Source organism: Homo sapiens, chromosome 16, assembly GCF_000001405.40.
Source record: "Homo sapiens chromosome 16, GRCh38.p14 Primary Assembly".
Lineage (NCBI taxonomy): Eukaryota > Metazoa > Chordata > Mammalia > Primates > Hominidae > Homo > Homo sapiens.
In genome coordinates, this window is record NC_000016.10 from 80,250,551 (window position 1) to 80,266,822 (window position 16,272).

The 16,272-nt window shown below is 41.6% G+C and overlaps 1 long non-coding RNA gene across 1 annotated transcript in view, besides 2 other annotated features; it reads right to left on the reverse strand.

The window, feature by feature from the left end:
• Positions 1–16,272, reverse strand: part of DYNLRB2-AS1 (DYNLRB2 antisense RNA 1) — a 407,178-nt gene that overhangs the window by 94,593 nt on the left and 296,313 nt on the right. The gene's annotated exons all lie outside the window — the stretch shown is intronic.
• Positions 13,322–13,616: an enhancer, noted in NCBI's record as "tiled region #10203; HepG2 Activating DNase matched - State 5:Enh". NCBI's record gives its function as "activates a minimal TATA promoter and a strong SV40 promoter by Sharpr-MPRA in HepG2 cells {active_cell/tissue: HepG2}" and the evidence as "EXISTENCE:reporter gene assay evidence [ECO:0000049][PMID:27701403]".
• Positions 15,142–15,436: an enhancer, noted in NCBI's record as "tiled region #10573; HepG2 Activating DNase matched - State 5:Enh". NCBI's record gives its function as "activates a minimal TATA promoter and a strong SV40 promoter by Sharpr-MPRA in HepG2 cells {active_cell/tissue: HepG2}" and the evidence as "EXISTENCE:reporter gene assay evidence [ECO:0000049][PMID:27701403]".

Below are 16,272 nucleotides of genomic sequence, written 5' to 3' on the forward strand. Positions count from 1 at the left end.
GTGGAGACAGGAGGCTAAGCTTGGCGACACCAGCTGCTTCAATGACTCAACCTGCTTTGTTCTTGTGGCACACTCAACAAACAATCTTCTGATGGCAATTTGGCTTTCCCTGCAACCATTCAAATGCCAGAAATTGGGGAGTGGTGCCACCAGGAGCTTCTTAGTCTGTAAAGCAGTGATAAGCTTGCAACGTTCTGAGCTTGCAACAATGAAAACTAGATCTTGGATCATGTTGATCAAAGGCTGGTTTTGTCAGAGGCGTTTGAACCAGAGCAACTCCATCTTGAATAGGTGCTGGGTCAAATAAGGCTGAGACCTACTGGGCTGCACTCCCAAAGGTTAGGCATTCTAAGTCACAGGATGAGATAGGAGGTCAGCACAAAATACAGGTCACAAAGACCTTACTGATAAAACAGTATGTGGTAAAGGAGCTGGCCAAATCCCACCAAAACCAAGAAGGCAATGAAAGTGACATCTGATCATCCTCACTGCTCATTACATGCTAATCATAATTCATTAGCATGCTAAGAGACACTCCCACCAGCATCATGATTGGTCACAGATGCCATGGCAATGTCTGAAAGTTACCCTATATGTTCTAAAAAAGGGAGGACCCCTCAGTTCTTTGAACTGCCCACCCCTTTCCCAGAAAACTCATTAATGATCGCTTGTTTAGCACATAATCAAGAGACAACAATAAAAATAGTCAACCAGCAGCCCTCAGGGCTGCTCTGCCTATAGAGTAGCCATTGTTTTGTTTCTTTACTTCTCTAAAAACTTGCTTTCACTTTATGGATTTGCCTCCAATTCTTTCTTGTGTGAGATCCAAGAACCTCTCTTGGGGTCTGGATAGGGATCCCTTTCCGGTAACAGTTTCTCCTCTTCCTGGCCTGCCCTATAAACAACATATGGGGGCTTTCTTGCTCATGCATTCTCTCTTTTCTTCCTCTCTCTTTGCAGATCAGGAAGCCTGAGGAATAGATTTGTGAGTGGGAAAAGCCTTGTTTTGCGCCCAGCCCATCCAAATACACCTTTGCCCTCATGGTTGTTAATTTCCAGGAAGAAACTCAATTTGGAAAAGGCTTTTAAATGCTCCTCATACCCTTTCTTTCAGATTCTAGATTACAACACCCCCATGGGTACCAGCGGAGGACAAGGACCATGAATATTCCACGTCTGTCTGAAACCTTTATCAAGCAGAGGTCAAGAACAGCTCTTTCCTTTTCAAAATTCAAGGCAAATGTCCAAAATTTTCAACCATGCGGATTTTTAAAGCAACAAAATTGAGACTGTCTTACCACCTAGAATTTCATGATTGCTCATTTATTCCATCACTGTATAAGCAGTTGTTCTATTATTTTATAAAAAGAAATGGAGTTGAATTAAGACTATCAAGCTATACCTTATATTAATGGAAGACAAGATTCACAGTTTAAATATTTTTTTCTTAGTTTAGCTTATTAGTCTTTTCTAAATTATCCTAATCACCAAGTATTATACTTACATATTCTGAAGTATTTAAAAGCATAAATAAGAATGAAAAGCAGCCCCAGGCAGCTTCTTGCATTACATCTGGGCAACTGCTGACATTCTAGGATCAAAAACTGAAACTAATATATCTACTTAGTCTGGTAGTAGACAAGGCAGCCTTCATTCTGACTTCTGCCCAACAGACAGGAGAGAGGAGTTTACTTTTGGTCTGAGGGGACTGCCCTGAGATCAAGTTTTTCCCCAATAGGCACCACGTTGCAATTTTCACTGTGTGAAGGGCTAGCGGGTCAACCCCAAGGTCCGACCAGGTGGTGACAGATAAGTGAGTTCCTCTAGGGACCCAACATGTACCTCCCACCAACCCAGAAGACCTGGCCTGACTGTTGCTGGGATCCAGCCAGCCATTCCAGAGGGCCAGGCCATCCCTACTTTGTGTCAATCAACCCTTCTCTCAAGTTAATGTCTGTCTGCGGGATGCCAGCCAGAAAGGTATCTCTGATTGGTTTTAGGGCTTATCTCAGGACTAACCTTGGGGACAGGCAGTCTCCAGGCTTTGAGGGATTTTCCTGTAAATTGCCTGGATAACAAACCCACAAAAACATCCAGCTTTGAGTTAAAACAATAACAACAACCAAAAATTGCTTTTCCTGCTCGCTTAGGCATTTTGCTGGTGGGGAAGGAGTTGCACATGCTAGTTTATTAAATGTTCACAACAATCAGTACCTTAAGCTATACTATAAGGGCTATTTTAGGGGTGATGGTGGGGGCGGAGGTGGATGTAAGTCTTAGATTGAATGAATTGCCAGAGACTCAAAGCTAGAAACTGACCAAGGAGAGAGTTTCTTTAACCACCATCAGCTTCAAGCTGACTCTCCTGGTATAAAGCTTTGAGATTCTAAAGACTCTGTGCCCAGCAGATGTGAGCAGCCATTGGCATACAAAATGGTCCCATCCTTATGTTGCTATTTCTGCTTCAGCCCTTTATTTTCTTCTAGCTCTTTCTTTCATTTCCCGTGTGATCTTGGGCAAGTCTCCTAATTCCTTTGACTCTCACTTTCCTCAGCAGTACAACCACAGTTCTTTCCCAGATCACAAGAATTTAAAAACGAAATGACTATGACCAGATGTGAGAGGCAGTTAAACCTGCTGTAGTGAAGAGTTTTGAGCCTGGGAGTAGATTGGCAGCACTGGAATCCCATCTCTTTGACCTTGGGCAAGTGACCTAAAGATCTGTTCCTCAGTGGAGAAAAAGGAATTTGTACCTCATAGGACTGTTGTACCTTTTAAGTAAATTACTGTATTAAAGGGGCTTGAAATAATTCCTTGCACGCTCTATGTTAAGTTGCTATTATTTTGTTCTAAATAAAATCGCCTTAGCGCAATCAACAACACATGTTAGATGCTAAGTAATGGGCAGTGATGCACCCTAGTCTTTTGTTGGCAAAAAGATGAGAATGAGAGCACCATTTCATGGGCCATGGGCTGATGTCAATTTCATACCAAACATGATATAACATAACTTTGAGAAGCCAACAGGACAGCAACCCCAGACCTCCAGACCACTATTTCAGTGTCTTGCAGTGATTCCTCCCATCCTTCCAGAGCCTCCACAGAGGCTCAGCTGCCCTGAAGGCAGAGGCAGGGCTAGCCTGAAGCCGAGGAAATGCCTGTGTAACTCAAGGGAGGAACAGCCAGGGATTCAACTGTGTAGGTCTGGGCTTCTGGAAGAGTTACTCCTCACCTCACTCCCCAGGGTCAAACTCAAAAAAAAACTTCATGCAAAAAAGCAATTTACTTAGCCAGTCACTTTCTAGATTTGCTCAGCAATTATTTCAGCTATTTGTGTTTAAATGAGAGTTTTCTCCGTTCCTGCCCAGTGTCTTTCTGCTTCATTGGGTGCGGAAGCCTTGGCAGCATTTTCCCTCCTGATAGCTGAACTTTCGCCATCACGGAGGCTGGGGGAAGTGGGAGAGCAGCTAAGGAAAAGCAAAAGTTGCAGGTTCTGAGAGTTTCTGAGACCATAAGGGCAGTGGTTAAAGAATGGAGAATGGGCCGCAGAGTCACCTGCCTGGAAGTTTAATAACAGTAGATATTTGTGGCACTTTTCCTAGAGTTTCTGACTCAGTAGGTTTGGGGCAGGGGCAGTGATGTGGTGATAAATACTTAGCAACCAGCTCTCTGGAAAAATATGTAAATAGCCCTGATTGGTGAATTTTCAGATTCCCTAGTACCAGTACTCCCATCATGACCAGTTTCAAGCTACTAATTTGATGTCACTGAACAAAGTAGGGAAGAGATGTGCGCAGTAAGCTCTTCTGCGCTGCTAAGAGCTGGTTCCTGGACACCACTGAGTCAAGGCCAGTAATCTCATGTTTATTAACTTCTCCTGGGTGATTCTGACACAGTGAGTACTGTAACAGGCTTTTTAGGAGTAGGAGAAATAGAGATAGAAAAGCACTATAAGTTTGAGCCTAGAGCTGAGATTAATTTGTTTGGGGCAGTTGATACATATTCATGTGCCACCATCACTATTTTTTGTCATATTCATGTGTATGCTGTACTATCTGTTGCTTATTGCTTACTTTTAATCTACTCATTATTTTATCCTTTCTTTTAATTACATGGTATAAGAAACTATAATCACCACCTTAAGTGTAAAACTATTACTAGTTGCTATAAATAAAAAGTAAATGTAAAGAGCTTATAATAAAAGCCATATTGTTAAATTCTAGTTATATACCATTTTCTATCTAACGTTCTGAGCCTGAGGTCTGTTTTCCCTTTGTGAACAAATGTTGGAGTGGCATTAAAGTTCTATTACCACCAAATGGTGACATTCTCCTTCAGATAATTAGATTGGAAAGTAGTTGAAAAGGGAGTAAAGTTTTCTCTAGAAAAACAAGTTACATAAAGCAGGATACTAGCACAGCTGAAAACATTTCCCATTCCAGGGCAAGCCAAATAACTGAGCCTCAACTCACTGAGCCTTCTTGAAAATGGGAAGGATTAAGGTTTAGGGTGGTGGTGATGAGGAGGAAGAGGATGACAGTAATGCTGATGAAGTTGATGATGATGATGGCGATAGTAATGGTGATGAAGCTGATGGTGATGGTGATAGTGATGGTGACGAAGTTGATGATGGTGATAGTCATGGCGATGAAGTTGATAATGTTGAATAGTGATGGTAATGAAGTTGACCGTGATAATGGTGATAGTGATGGTGATGAAGTTAATGGTGATGATGGCAAGGAAGATTAGTTTTTCATTACTGATAAGAAAATTTGGGACAAGCCCTCCATTTACATCACCCCTAATTGCAGGTGAAGAAACTGACACTCCCATCATGACCAGTTTAAAGCTACTAATTTGATGTCACTGAACAAAGTGGGGAAGAGATGTGCGCAGTAAGTTGTCCTGAGCTGGTAAGAGCTAGTGAGAGAACTTAGTTTACTTGGCCTCAATCACATGTTGATCATGGAGCCATAATCAGCCCCTAAATCAGGCTGACTCCAGAGCCAATATTAAGAATACATATGTCAACTTCTGCAATGGTTTAGTTTCCTTTCCTCATTGTTTTGTGGGTAGACTAACGATTATTATGTATGCAAAGCACCTGACCCATGTCCAGTCCACCACAGCTTCACCTGAGATGTTGGCATTCATATTTTATGTGATGATGAGCTTGTGACATGTTCCACATCCCCCAGTTAGTGATCTATAACTGATTCTTCCCCTAAAATTATTCTCAAAGCAGAGACATATTTAGCCCTCAAACAAAGGAAGGGCTCTTCTCTGACATGTCAAGTACTGTGTACTAGACACTCACGGTGACTCTTGCAGTCTTTTAGCTAGCTGATCCTCCATCTAAGGGTGAAAATAAATGGAGAAACATTGACTTGGCTCCCAGCTGATGAGAAATTGTTTTCCTTCTCATTGACCTTCTCAAGACAAGAGGTTTGAACTTTTGATAAGGTCTTTCTTCATAGTCAGAGGCATTTCTGCAAGAGGGTTTCATGAGAAGTCATCAGATCAAATTCTGAAACTAGAAGGCAGGGCAAACACCTAAAGACATTTTGGATTTTTTACACCATTCATTTTACAGTGAGAAAGCAAGATGAAAAAAGCATGCCAAACCTCATAAGCTCTCGGCTTTCAACTAAAAGTTGATGATTTATTTCCATGTCTACCCTGCTCAGCCTTCCCAGATCTAGAGCTGAGGGTAAATGGCAGAGTGTGCCTAAAGTCATGAATACAGTTGCCAGGGATGAGACACTTGGCATCAATGGGCCTGTCTGCCTCTCTAAAATAAGGGAGAAAACAAACACATATTTTTCTATTTGTCAAATTAGTGTGATGATGGCACTAATAATTATGAAGTCATCACGAAATTTTTAAAATTATTAAATGAGTTGTATCTGCAAAAAATCACTATAATATCTAAATAACTCTACAAATGTTGGTTATTAATGTCACCCAACCTGGAAGGAGCTATTATCCAGAGGTGAAAATGAGGGGTAGTTATTTGTTCATGCCTGATGCATATAGAGCATTTTTATACGCATGGTGGTTTTACATCATCTCACTGCCCTGCCCCACACCCATCAACCCTATCAGCTAAGTATGGTTTTTAACTCTGCTTTTGCAAAAAAGAAAACTGAGGCTTGGTAAAGTTAAACAACTTATGTGTGGTCATATGAGCAGTAAGTAGAAAAGTCAGAATTCAGACCCAGGTGTTATAAGCTGAATTACGTTCCCCCTAACATTTATATGTTGAAGTCTTAATCTTCAGTACCTCAGAATGTGACTATATTTGGAGATAGGCCCTTGAAGAGGTAATTAAGTTATATGAGACCATATAAATGGACCCTAAACCAATATTACTGATGTCCTTATAAAAAAGAGGAGATTAGGATACCAACACACACCAAGAGAAGACCACGTGAAGACATGAGAGATGACCATCTACAAACCAAAGAGAGAGGTGTCAGAAGAAATGAACCCTGCTGGCACCTTGATCTTCAACTTCCACCCTCCAGAACTGTGAGAAATAAATTTCTGTTCTCTAAGCCAGTACCAGTTTGTGACATTTTGTTATGTCACCCCTAGAAAATTAATACATCAGGTCTCTCATTTCATATCCCATATATATTCTACTATGCTACTCTATTGTGTGTGTGTGTCTGTGTGTGTGTGTGTTTGGTTACACTGTAGTATAAAATGCCGTTATGAGTATCATAGTTAATAGTTTTTCTCATTGAAAGAGTGCATATACCCCCAGTCTCATTGATTTAGATTGCAAAATATATTTATGTGGATAAATCAAATACTCTCTGGGCTTTGCTCCCAAGACTCACAGCTATAATTTACTGAAATTTTCTCAGAAGCTTTCCAAGGGTGATGATCCTCTTTGTGAGGTCAGCAGTTCAACAGGCCTCTAAGGTTTGCAAAAGAGTCAATGATCATTGGGATGTCCTGGTCTCAAGACCTACAGGCCTCAAGCTGGAGCACTGACTACTACTAACTATGGCAGTCATCACTAATTACTGATAATATTATTTCCCACAGAGCCCAGTATTAGCTTCAGAATTCTTCTCAACACTAGATTACAGGAAACTGCTGTAAGATGATTGTACTGGATACATGAGAATGAACCCATATTCCCTTTCAGAACAGTCTGGAACTCTTCAAGGCTAGAACCACTTCATTCATCTCACTGTCCTAGTGATAACATGGATTTGTCTAGTAATACCCAACAAGGATTCCTCTCCAGTGGTAACTCCCCAAGACCTAAAGTATCTCTGCTTCTGCATTTTATAAAGCCATTTTGAAGCTGGAAAACAATACTCAGGTAAAACACTAAATTAAGAAATTAGTTCACTGAACTGCCTAGATAGTAAGAAATGAGAAGTATGTGAAGACCACGTGACACAGAAATAGTGAACCCAAGATGTAAGACTAGAGTCCCTTACATCTTTCCTCCTGCGATGAAATATGTTCACTCTTAGAGTCTTGGATCCCAAGAACTAACATTTGTCTTTACCAAGTATTCTAGTTTCATATCGTACCAAACTACATCCAAACTCAATGGCTTTAAATAAAAGGTCATTTTATTTTGTTCACAACTTTGTAGATGAAGAATTCAGGATGCGTTTAGTTGAGTGATTCATCTCTAATGGAGAGTGATGCCTCATGGACAGCAGACACTGGAGGGTCACTTCCAAGGTGGCATTTCTTCTCACAAGCCTGGGCTGGGAAGGCTGACTGCGGATGCTGCATCCTGACTTTGGAGCCATTAAACAGACCATCTACAAGTGGTTTCTCCTTGGCACTCGGCCACCTGGTTCAAAGAAGGAACATCCCTAGGGTGAGCTTTCTAAGAGGTCTAGGCTGAGGCTGCAAGACTTTTTATGACGTAACCACAGGTACCCCTGAACAACATTTCTCTTGCCTCCTATTGGTTAAGCAAGTCACTAAGGCCACTCATGTCCAAGAACTAGGGACTAAAACTCCACCCCTCCACAGGAAGAACAGCGAAACATTTTACTCATTTCTTATCTACCATGCCAAACACACCCAGGTGTGGTTAGAAAAAAGGCCATCAAGTAAGAAGAGGACATGACCCTAATGCCCTGGGAAACAGATCCTGTGTGATTTTTGAAGTTTCTAACGAGCATATAAATACTGTTAGTTGCTTTAGCAAATGCCCAACAGCAGCAGATTTTTTTCAGAAAGTTTCCCAGGAGCTAAAACCCAAGAGTTAGAAAGGCCTCAGATACCCTGAGTTATTTGGAGAAAGAATTTCACCCCAGACAACAAGAGGGTTTTCTTTGTTTTGCCCCAGCTTCTCAATTAGAGGAATAAGAAATGGTTCTGATGATAACCTGCCCAGAATCTACCCACCTAGCAAGAAACAGAGGTGGGTTTTGCAGAAGCCAAGCAGGAAACAACATGAGCCTTGAATACGGGGGCATGTTTCCATGCTGCTCTGCAATCCTTAAGAAGAACTCAGGATTAAGAGCACACCGTCAAAATCTCAGATGACATTGTCATGTGGCTAAACATTACAAAACTCTAAGAGACATTTTTAAAACGTAGTCTGAGAAAATGAACCATAATACCATTATGTTCAAATCCCCCGTCCATACTGAGCATGGGAAATTGAGATACCTGGGTCTTCCAGGCTCTCTGACAACACTGGGTAAATGCGGCATCAGTGACTAAGAGACCTGCTCATCATAACGGGCTACTTTCTTTTGATTGTTTTAAAATCCTAAAATTATTGACTGTTGGGTAAATAAACACCTCTGAAAATATCCCACACCCAGGGCCTTGCCTTCTTTCAGCAGTGCAGGGAGGAGGGGTGCTCTATATGACTGTCAATCTGCCCCATTTGTGGACTCAGCACAGGGCCCTCTATGCCGTGTGGCCACAGAGGCCAGGAGGTCTGCCCTTATCCCGCCATTCCGGCAGTGAAAGGGATGGATGCTGATGACTCAGTAACCTGTGTAGAAGCAAGAGAATAGGGGGAGGGGGCCAATAAGCCATCCCTCAGAAACATAAAGTCAAATTAGAGGTGACATGTGGGCCACTGGGAAAGCTCCAGGCCTTGGCAGAAGCCGTGGCACTTAGCTGACAGGTTGCAATTGAACAAAGCTGACACTCGACAAGTCTCCTCTCCCCTTGACCTCCTTGACCTGCATACCGTGCCTGCCTCCCCTCCTCCCCAAAGCCACTTCCCTCTCTAAACCCATTCCCTGGAATTCCAAAAGTTTGAAATAAAATTAACCACATCAACAAAACACAAGACAGCTGTTGGTGACCCCAACTCACTATCCAATGGCATCAAATCACAGGACGAGAACATGATACTCCTTCTCTTATTGAATTACCCTGAATCTTAATTGTCCCAAGTATTTTCTACCATTGATCACTGAAGGAAAAGATGAATCCAATAATTCAGTGATAAACTCAGGAAGGTTTCTTCTCACTATCTTTCCCTGCCTCCCTCCCTCCTTCCTTTCCTTCCTTCCTTCCCTTTTCTTTGTTTCTAAGAGAGTTCTCATTTGAATCTTCTGACTTGCATACCTTGATTTATCAATAGCTCTTCTCAGCCAACTCAGCCCTTGTATCAAAGAATAAGACCCTACAGGCAGCAGAAATACTTTGATGCTGGAATAAAACCTGGACCTGAGCCAGCTGCATCACAAAACCCACCCTTAATTCTGCTTTCCCTTCCCCCTCCTGCAGCAAGAACCTCCCCAGGTATGTGGAGAAGAGGGTATCTCAGGAAAGATAAGAACCTAAACACAGGTACAAGGAGAAAACCCCAATCCCCCTGAAAAGCCCAGAATTCCAAAAAAAAAAAAAAAAAAGGAAGTTTAAGTATCTCTATGTAAGTTTGGGGCATAGAGACACTTATGCCCCGAAGTATTGCTTGCCTTAACTGATATGACAGAAAGGTGTAGTTTCTGGAGTCATACAGGTCTGTGTTCAAATGTTGTATTTGTCACTTAAAAGTATGAACCTACAGCCATTTACTTAACTTGTAAAATGAAGACCAGTTATTACATTGTGAGGTTGAACAGCAATTAAATGAATAGCATTAAATGAAACAAGATGATTGGCACATCATTGGGCACAATCAACACTGGCTTCCATGACAAGTAATTTACACATAAAGAGGCACCATCACACATCGATAGCTACCTCCCACTCCAAACATATGACAGCCAGGCGGCAAGCTCCCAGTTCTACTATCCCTGCAACCTCGTTTATTCAATCATTTTGCCTCCTTTTTATTTCTTCCTCCTTTCCTTCATTTGTTAGCATTTATTGTCATTTCTATACTAAGTCTTGCTAAGAGAAGGCAACAGAGTTATCAGTAAGAACCAATGCTTGTTCTTCTAAGGGAATATGGATCTTTTGCAACTAGTAGCTGAAATGTGAGTAAGTTTTCCTATGACCTCATTCTTCCTTTATTACAATTGGCAGCGTTTGTTACATTTCAATCATTACCTAACGGAGTTCTACAGTGGTTCACAGCCCATAATCTACTTTCACATGTTATAAAAGCACAATGGGCCAGAGATTAAAGGTCCAACAAAGGGTATATCACAAGCTCATCTCGCTTTGTTTCTGATCAGTGACCTGCGCCCAGGGCAGGACAATAGGGCAACATGGGGTGTGTAGAAGCATTCTCACTGCTAAGAGCAGGGCAGAGCTCCATGCTTTCCAGAGAGTGCCTCTGGGGCCTGTGCTTTGGGACAATTTTGAACAGCAGGGTTCAGACTCAGTAGCTTTTCCCAGCTGGGCCTATTGATTCAGCCACGCAGGTTGTGCCATGCACAAGCTCCATTACATGCACAACAATGTAAATGGTGACCCTTGATGTTGTGTGGTGCACAGCCTGTACAGCTGTACATAACGGTCACTCCATCCCTTACACTTGCTGGAAATGAACACAGTTTGTTCAACTCTAAAACCTTAGAAATAAACTGCTAAGCCATAGTTCCTCTCACCGAACAGAATCGACGTCAGACCCTGCTTGGCTTGGTTTTTCTTCCATCATTTAACCTCTCCATGACTTCAAGTTCTCATCTGTAGAAGAGCTAGATACACTCAGAGGGCTTCCGGGGGAATCACCGACATAGTGCCTGCAAGGTGCTGCACACCATACCTGGAGTGTAGCAGGCACACATACATGTTCTCTGAACGCCTCAGCTCAGCAAGGGGAGTCTGGAAAGAGAAAAACCTGCCTTTGGATTGAAACCTGCCTTTGAAATCTGGCTCTGCCCTTTTTGAATTGGGCAGGCTGTGTGTCCTTGGTTTCTTCTCGTCTGTAAAATGGCTCTAATTACGCTTCCTCAAGAGATTTTTGTGAAGGCTCAGTATACACATATATGCAAATAACACAGGATGCTGCATTAAATCCTCATTTCTTTTCACTCTTCTTCTCCCCAACAGCAGAAGCTAGGGGTGAGAGAAGGCTTTGTGGTGATGTTCAAAGCTCATGTCAGGGTAACCAGGACTTACTGAGGTTTTGCAGTGTTTTAAGTATTTTTCATGGGCTCTGTGAATACCAAAATAAAGGAGACAAAGTATCTGCTAGGACTTGTGCTTCTCAAATGATCTGATAAAACACCGAATTTTCTTTTTCTTTTTTTCCCAGCTCATTGTATTTCCAATGAATACTAATTATGAGAATGTGATATGACAAAAAGAATAAAATGCAAGATGCAAGCCCAGCCTTTTTTTTTTTTTTTTTTTTTTTTTTTTTTTTTTTTTGAGGCAGAGTTTCACTCTGTCGCCCAGGCTGGGGTACAGTGGTGTGATCTCAACTCACTGCAACCTCTGCCTCCTGGGTTTAAGCACTTCTCATGCCTCAGCCTCCCAAGTAATTGGGACTACACCCATTAGCCCGCCACCATGCCTGGCTAATTTTTGTTTTCTGTTGTTGTTGTTGTTGTTATTGTTTGTTTTGCTTTTTTTTTTTTTTTTTTTTTTTTTAGTAGAGACAGGGTTTCACCATGTTGGCTACGCTGGTCTCGAACTCCTGACCTCAGGTGATCTGCCCACCTCAGTCTCCCAAAGTGCTGGGATTACAGGCGTGAGCCACCACACCTAGCCCTAGCTTTTTATTACTATTAGATTACACGGATATAAGATGTCAATGTCAAATTGCTCTAGAAGTTTCTAAATGTTTGCTCTCAATTTCTGTGCTTTTCTTACCATGGATGGGTAGCCAGTAGTTTGCAGACAGGCACTGGACAAAGGACCACACTGTTAGCAGCTCTGATTGAAATCCAGCAATCGGCAAGTGTGCATTCGTCTATGTGAATGAGGAGACCATATTATCTCTATCTGAATCCTTTGAGCACTTTAATTTTTAGCTCATTTGTTGCTTTCTCTTCCAGGCACTATGTTTCTTGGCAGAGACTGTATATGCCATCCCTAGTCTAGAATAAATTCTTAATAAGCAGCCTCCAGTAAAGACAACTAATGGCTGGGTGTAACGTTGGACTTTTGAGAAAATAACTCACCCCTAAACTTTGCCCCCTCATCCTGCAATGCTTAGTCTCGATAGTTGGTATGGACTGAATCCTTTAAATTGATCAGAGACCCACCCCCACCCACATCTGTATACCCTCAACCCCACACACCCATTCAACGCAGAATATGACTTTGCTATTCCTAAAAGTTCAGGTTTGCCATAAGGGCAGAGCTAGCAGATATAGGAGTTTAGAACAAAGGCTGTCTCATGAAAGCCAGCCCTGGGAGTCACCAGACCCTCCGTGCCAGTCGAGAGTGTTTCTTTTAAAAAGAAATAATTGTGCTCTTCTGACTAGGATGATAAAAAAAAAAAAAAAGTCTACCTCTTTCTGAAAGGAAGCCAGTCACTGCTTTTAATAAACTCTTTGGCTACAAAGATGAAACAGGCAGACAACAGCAACAAAGAAGATATTATTAACATAATTTCATGTAATTGGATAGAAGGGTAATATTTATTTTAATATTACAGAGGAAATATCCCACAATGCAGACCCTGGATTAATTCTTTATATCTTTAGACTGCACTTATCAAATAAAATTGTACTTATGGAAAAAGCAAACACATAAATCTTGCCTCATTGTTGGCGGGCAACCCTAGCAAGGGCTAATTGTATTATATATCTTCTGCAGCTCTGCCTAGTGTTTGCCAGGTCCAAATGTATTATTATTTATTACATGAACAAATGCAATTTTCTTCTTGGAATCTGAGCTTGGAATTCCATGAAAGCCTAAATGTGTCCCTTTTCTATTCAGGAGGAAAAAGAAAGACCCCCAATGAGTGTGACCTACAAGAGTCTTCCATGAAGATCAACATCTAAGTTTCCCTTGAGAGACACCAAATCAAATCTCAAGGAGTGGCCTCCGGAACACCATTAGGATGAAGGTAAAGTTCTTCTAACTCTGCTCTTTGAAATGTCCCTTTCCTCCAGGGAAAAGCTTTGCTATGGATTTGCCAGAATCTGAACCAATATTTGACTTAGCTCTGTTTGTTTGTTTGCAAGGTCACTATGCACTTGAGTGTTCCATATATGTACTATGTCCCCTCCCATTTTAAAAAATAAAATTTTTTTATTTTTTTTTCAAAAAGAGATGGGGTCTCCCTATGTTGCCCAGGCTGCTCTCAATCTCCTGGACTCAAGCGATCCTGCCACCTCTACCTCCATAAGTGTTGAGATTGTAGGCATGAGCCCCCATGCCCGGCCTTTCCTCCTCTTCTAACTCTGCCTCTCCCTCTCTCTCTCTGTCTTCTGTCCTTCACATATGGCAAGGCTAAGTCCCATACTGAAGGCTGGCTGGTGGTATCTTGCCCTGTCTATTTGTCAACTAGTCTTAAAAGTGCTACTCCGCTGCAGGCTGGGGCAAGCAGATTTTTTTCTTGCTCTCTGTTGACGTTCTTCTAGGATTGGTGAGTGTGTTATATTGTTCTAGAACATGTTTTAGCCTAACCACATTAGTAAAATGGATTTCTGCATGTTCCATCTCACCACATTTCCTTGCATTGAGGTTTAGGTGCAAATACTAATTACGTTAGTTTGTGGTTTCTTTCTCACAATTATTTTCACCTATATCTCTTTTACAAAATTCACAGGGAGGATGACTAGGCAAATGGAGATTAATCTGATCAAATTTAGTTTCCTACTAAAAGGACATTTAATAACAACCAGAACACCAACACAGAGTTATACCTCTGCTCTGGTTCAACTCAGCACAATTTGAACAGCTCTTGTGTGCTAGACACTAGGTTAGGGAGTTTTCACAGACTATCCTATAGTCATCACAGCCACTACGGGATTCGTAAACTTCACCCCAGCTCTTCTTGAGGATGGTGAAAATGAGATGCAGAAAGGTTGGCAGCTACTTGCAGAGTTGGGACTTGAATCCTGACTTCCCAACTTCATCCCCAAGGTTCTTTCCACAATACCATCCTTGGAAAGGGAAAATCATTGCTAGGACAGACAGTGCATCTAGACCAGTGTAGCATGTTTTAAAAGGAATTTCTCTTCCACCAATTCAAGAACTGAACAAAAGCAAAAAGTGTAAACAAACACACACAATCCTGCCCAGAGTGAAACCCACTAAATAGAAATACTACAGTGGTGCATTCTGCTGGAGGGAGATCATTTACCCTCTTTCCTTCATCAGCCCAATTAAAATCTCATCACACACAAAACAAAATCAAAGACATAGAGAGAGAGACTGTGGATTATGCCTCTAAGATGAAAAGCTAGCTTATTCTTTCTCTCCACTAACCTCTCTGCTCATGCTTAAATGTAAGTCCAACTGGCCATATTTCCAAGTTGACCACATTTCCCAGAGAATGTATAACTTATATTCTTCAGTTCTGGCAAAGTGTTCTCCCTGGTCCCTGAAGTTAGCGACTTCCATAGAAAAACAAATTTTGTTTTGAATGCCTAGCTGAGGAAGGGGTTGCTGCATATTTCTTTCCTATAGGCAATGGAGATCCAACTAAAGTTCAGGACAGAGATAGATAAAGGGAAAACAAAAGAAAAATATTCTTCCGTTGGCTTACCATAGTCTTGTTTCTGTACATAGCATGTCCCTTGAGTAGCAATGATACATTCTTTGGATCAAATTCACAGGTCATTTCTGCAAAGTTTTGCATGACACTGAGAGAAGGAGCAACCAAAGGACTGCAAACAGTTGCATAAGTAAAAGTGAGACATAAAACTTCATAGCAACCTCAAATGATGTCACTCTCAAGGACCTCAAGGCCATAAAATTCAGAGAGCTTCCCAAACAAGCCATTACTGATTTTCACGGAACTGAAAAGTACCTTGGACCTTGCTCCTTTCCATTCATAAAAACATTGTTATCAGTGAATGAGCTCACCACCCATTGCAACTGTAAGCTCTTTGGCACGTTAAGTTAAATCATTGTTGAACTCAACTCTTCCCTTTGAACCCTGGGGAATATTAACATGTCCTCCCAAGGGCCAGGGAGGAACATATGTGTCTTTGACCCTCTCAAAATGAGGAGGATGGAAACTCCCATGTATTAGCCAAGTACATTTGCTAGGTTGATGATGTGCAAAGAGGATTGGTCAGAATCCTATCCCAAAAATCAGGACCAGCTCCATTATTTGTGGGACCCAGGGCAAAACAAAATAAAAAACATGAGACTTCTTGGTCAAAGATTATTAAGGAGTTTTAAGACAGTGATAACAGAACATTAAACTCAGTGTGGGACCCTCCTAAGCATGGGGCCCTGTGCAACTGGTCAAGCCACATACCCATGTAGCTGGCCCTGCTCACAATCACCAAGAAGCCGTTGTCATAGATTTCTAATAATGAACTGAACAGAGAACATGTCAAGAAAAGATAAGAGGTTTATTTTATGATCAGCTGGCTTTTCAGAATCCTTCATGGTATGGAAGAGCCGTCAGGATGAACTGTGTCTCTCTCACCTAAGGAGCAAACTAAAACAGGTCTCCATAGATACAACATCTTGGTCCTGGAGGTCTTTCCTTTCTTAGGTTAAAAGAAAGGGGTGATGTGTACAAGGCAACTGATGCAACAGAAGGAAGAGGGAATAAATGGCTGTGGCTTAGAAAAAATTCAGCTAACCTCCTCCATCCAGCAGGGAGAGCAGGCAGTGAGTGAGGCAGACAGAACTTGATCACAGCACTGTATCACAGAAATGCAAGAGAGAGCAGTTGTACGAAGAAAATTATTTTCTTAAAAGAGGACAAGACATGGAATTAAAAATGCCTAG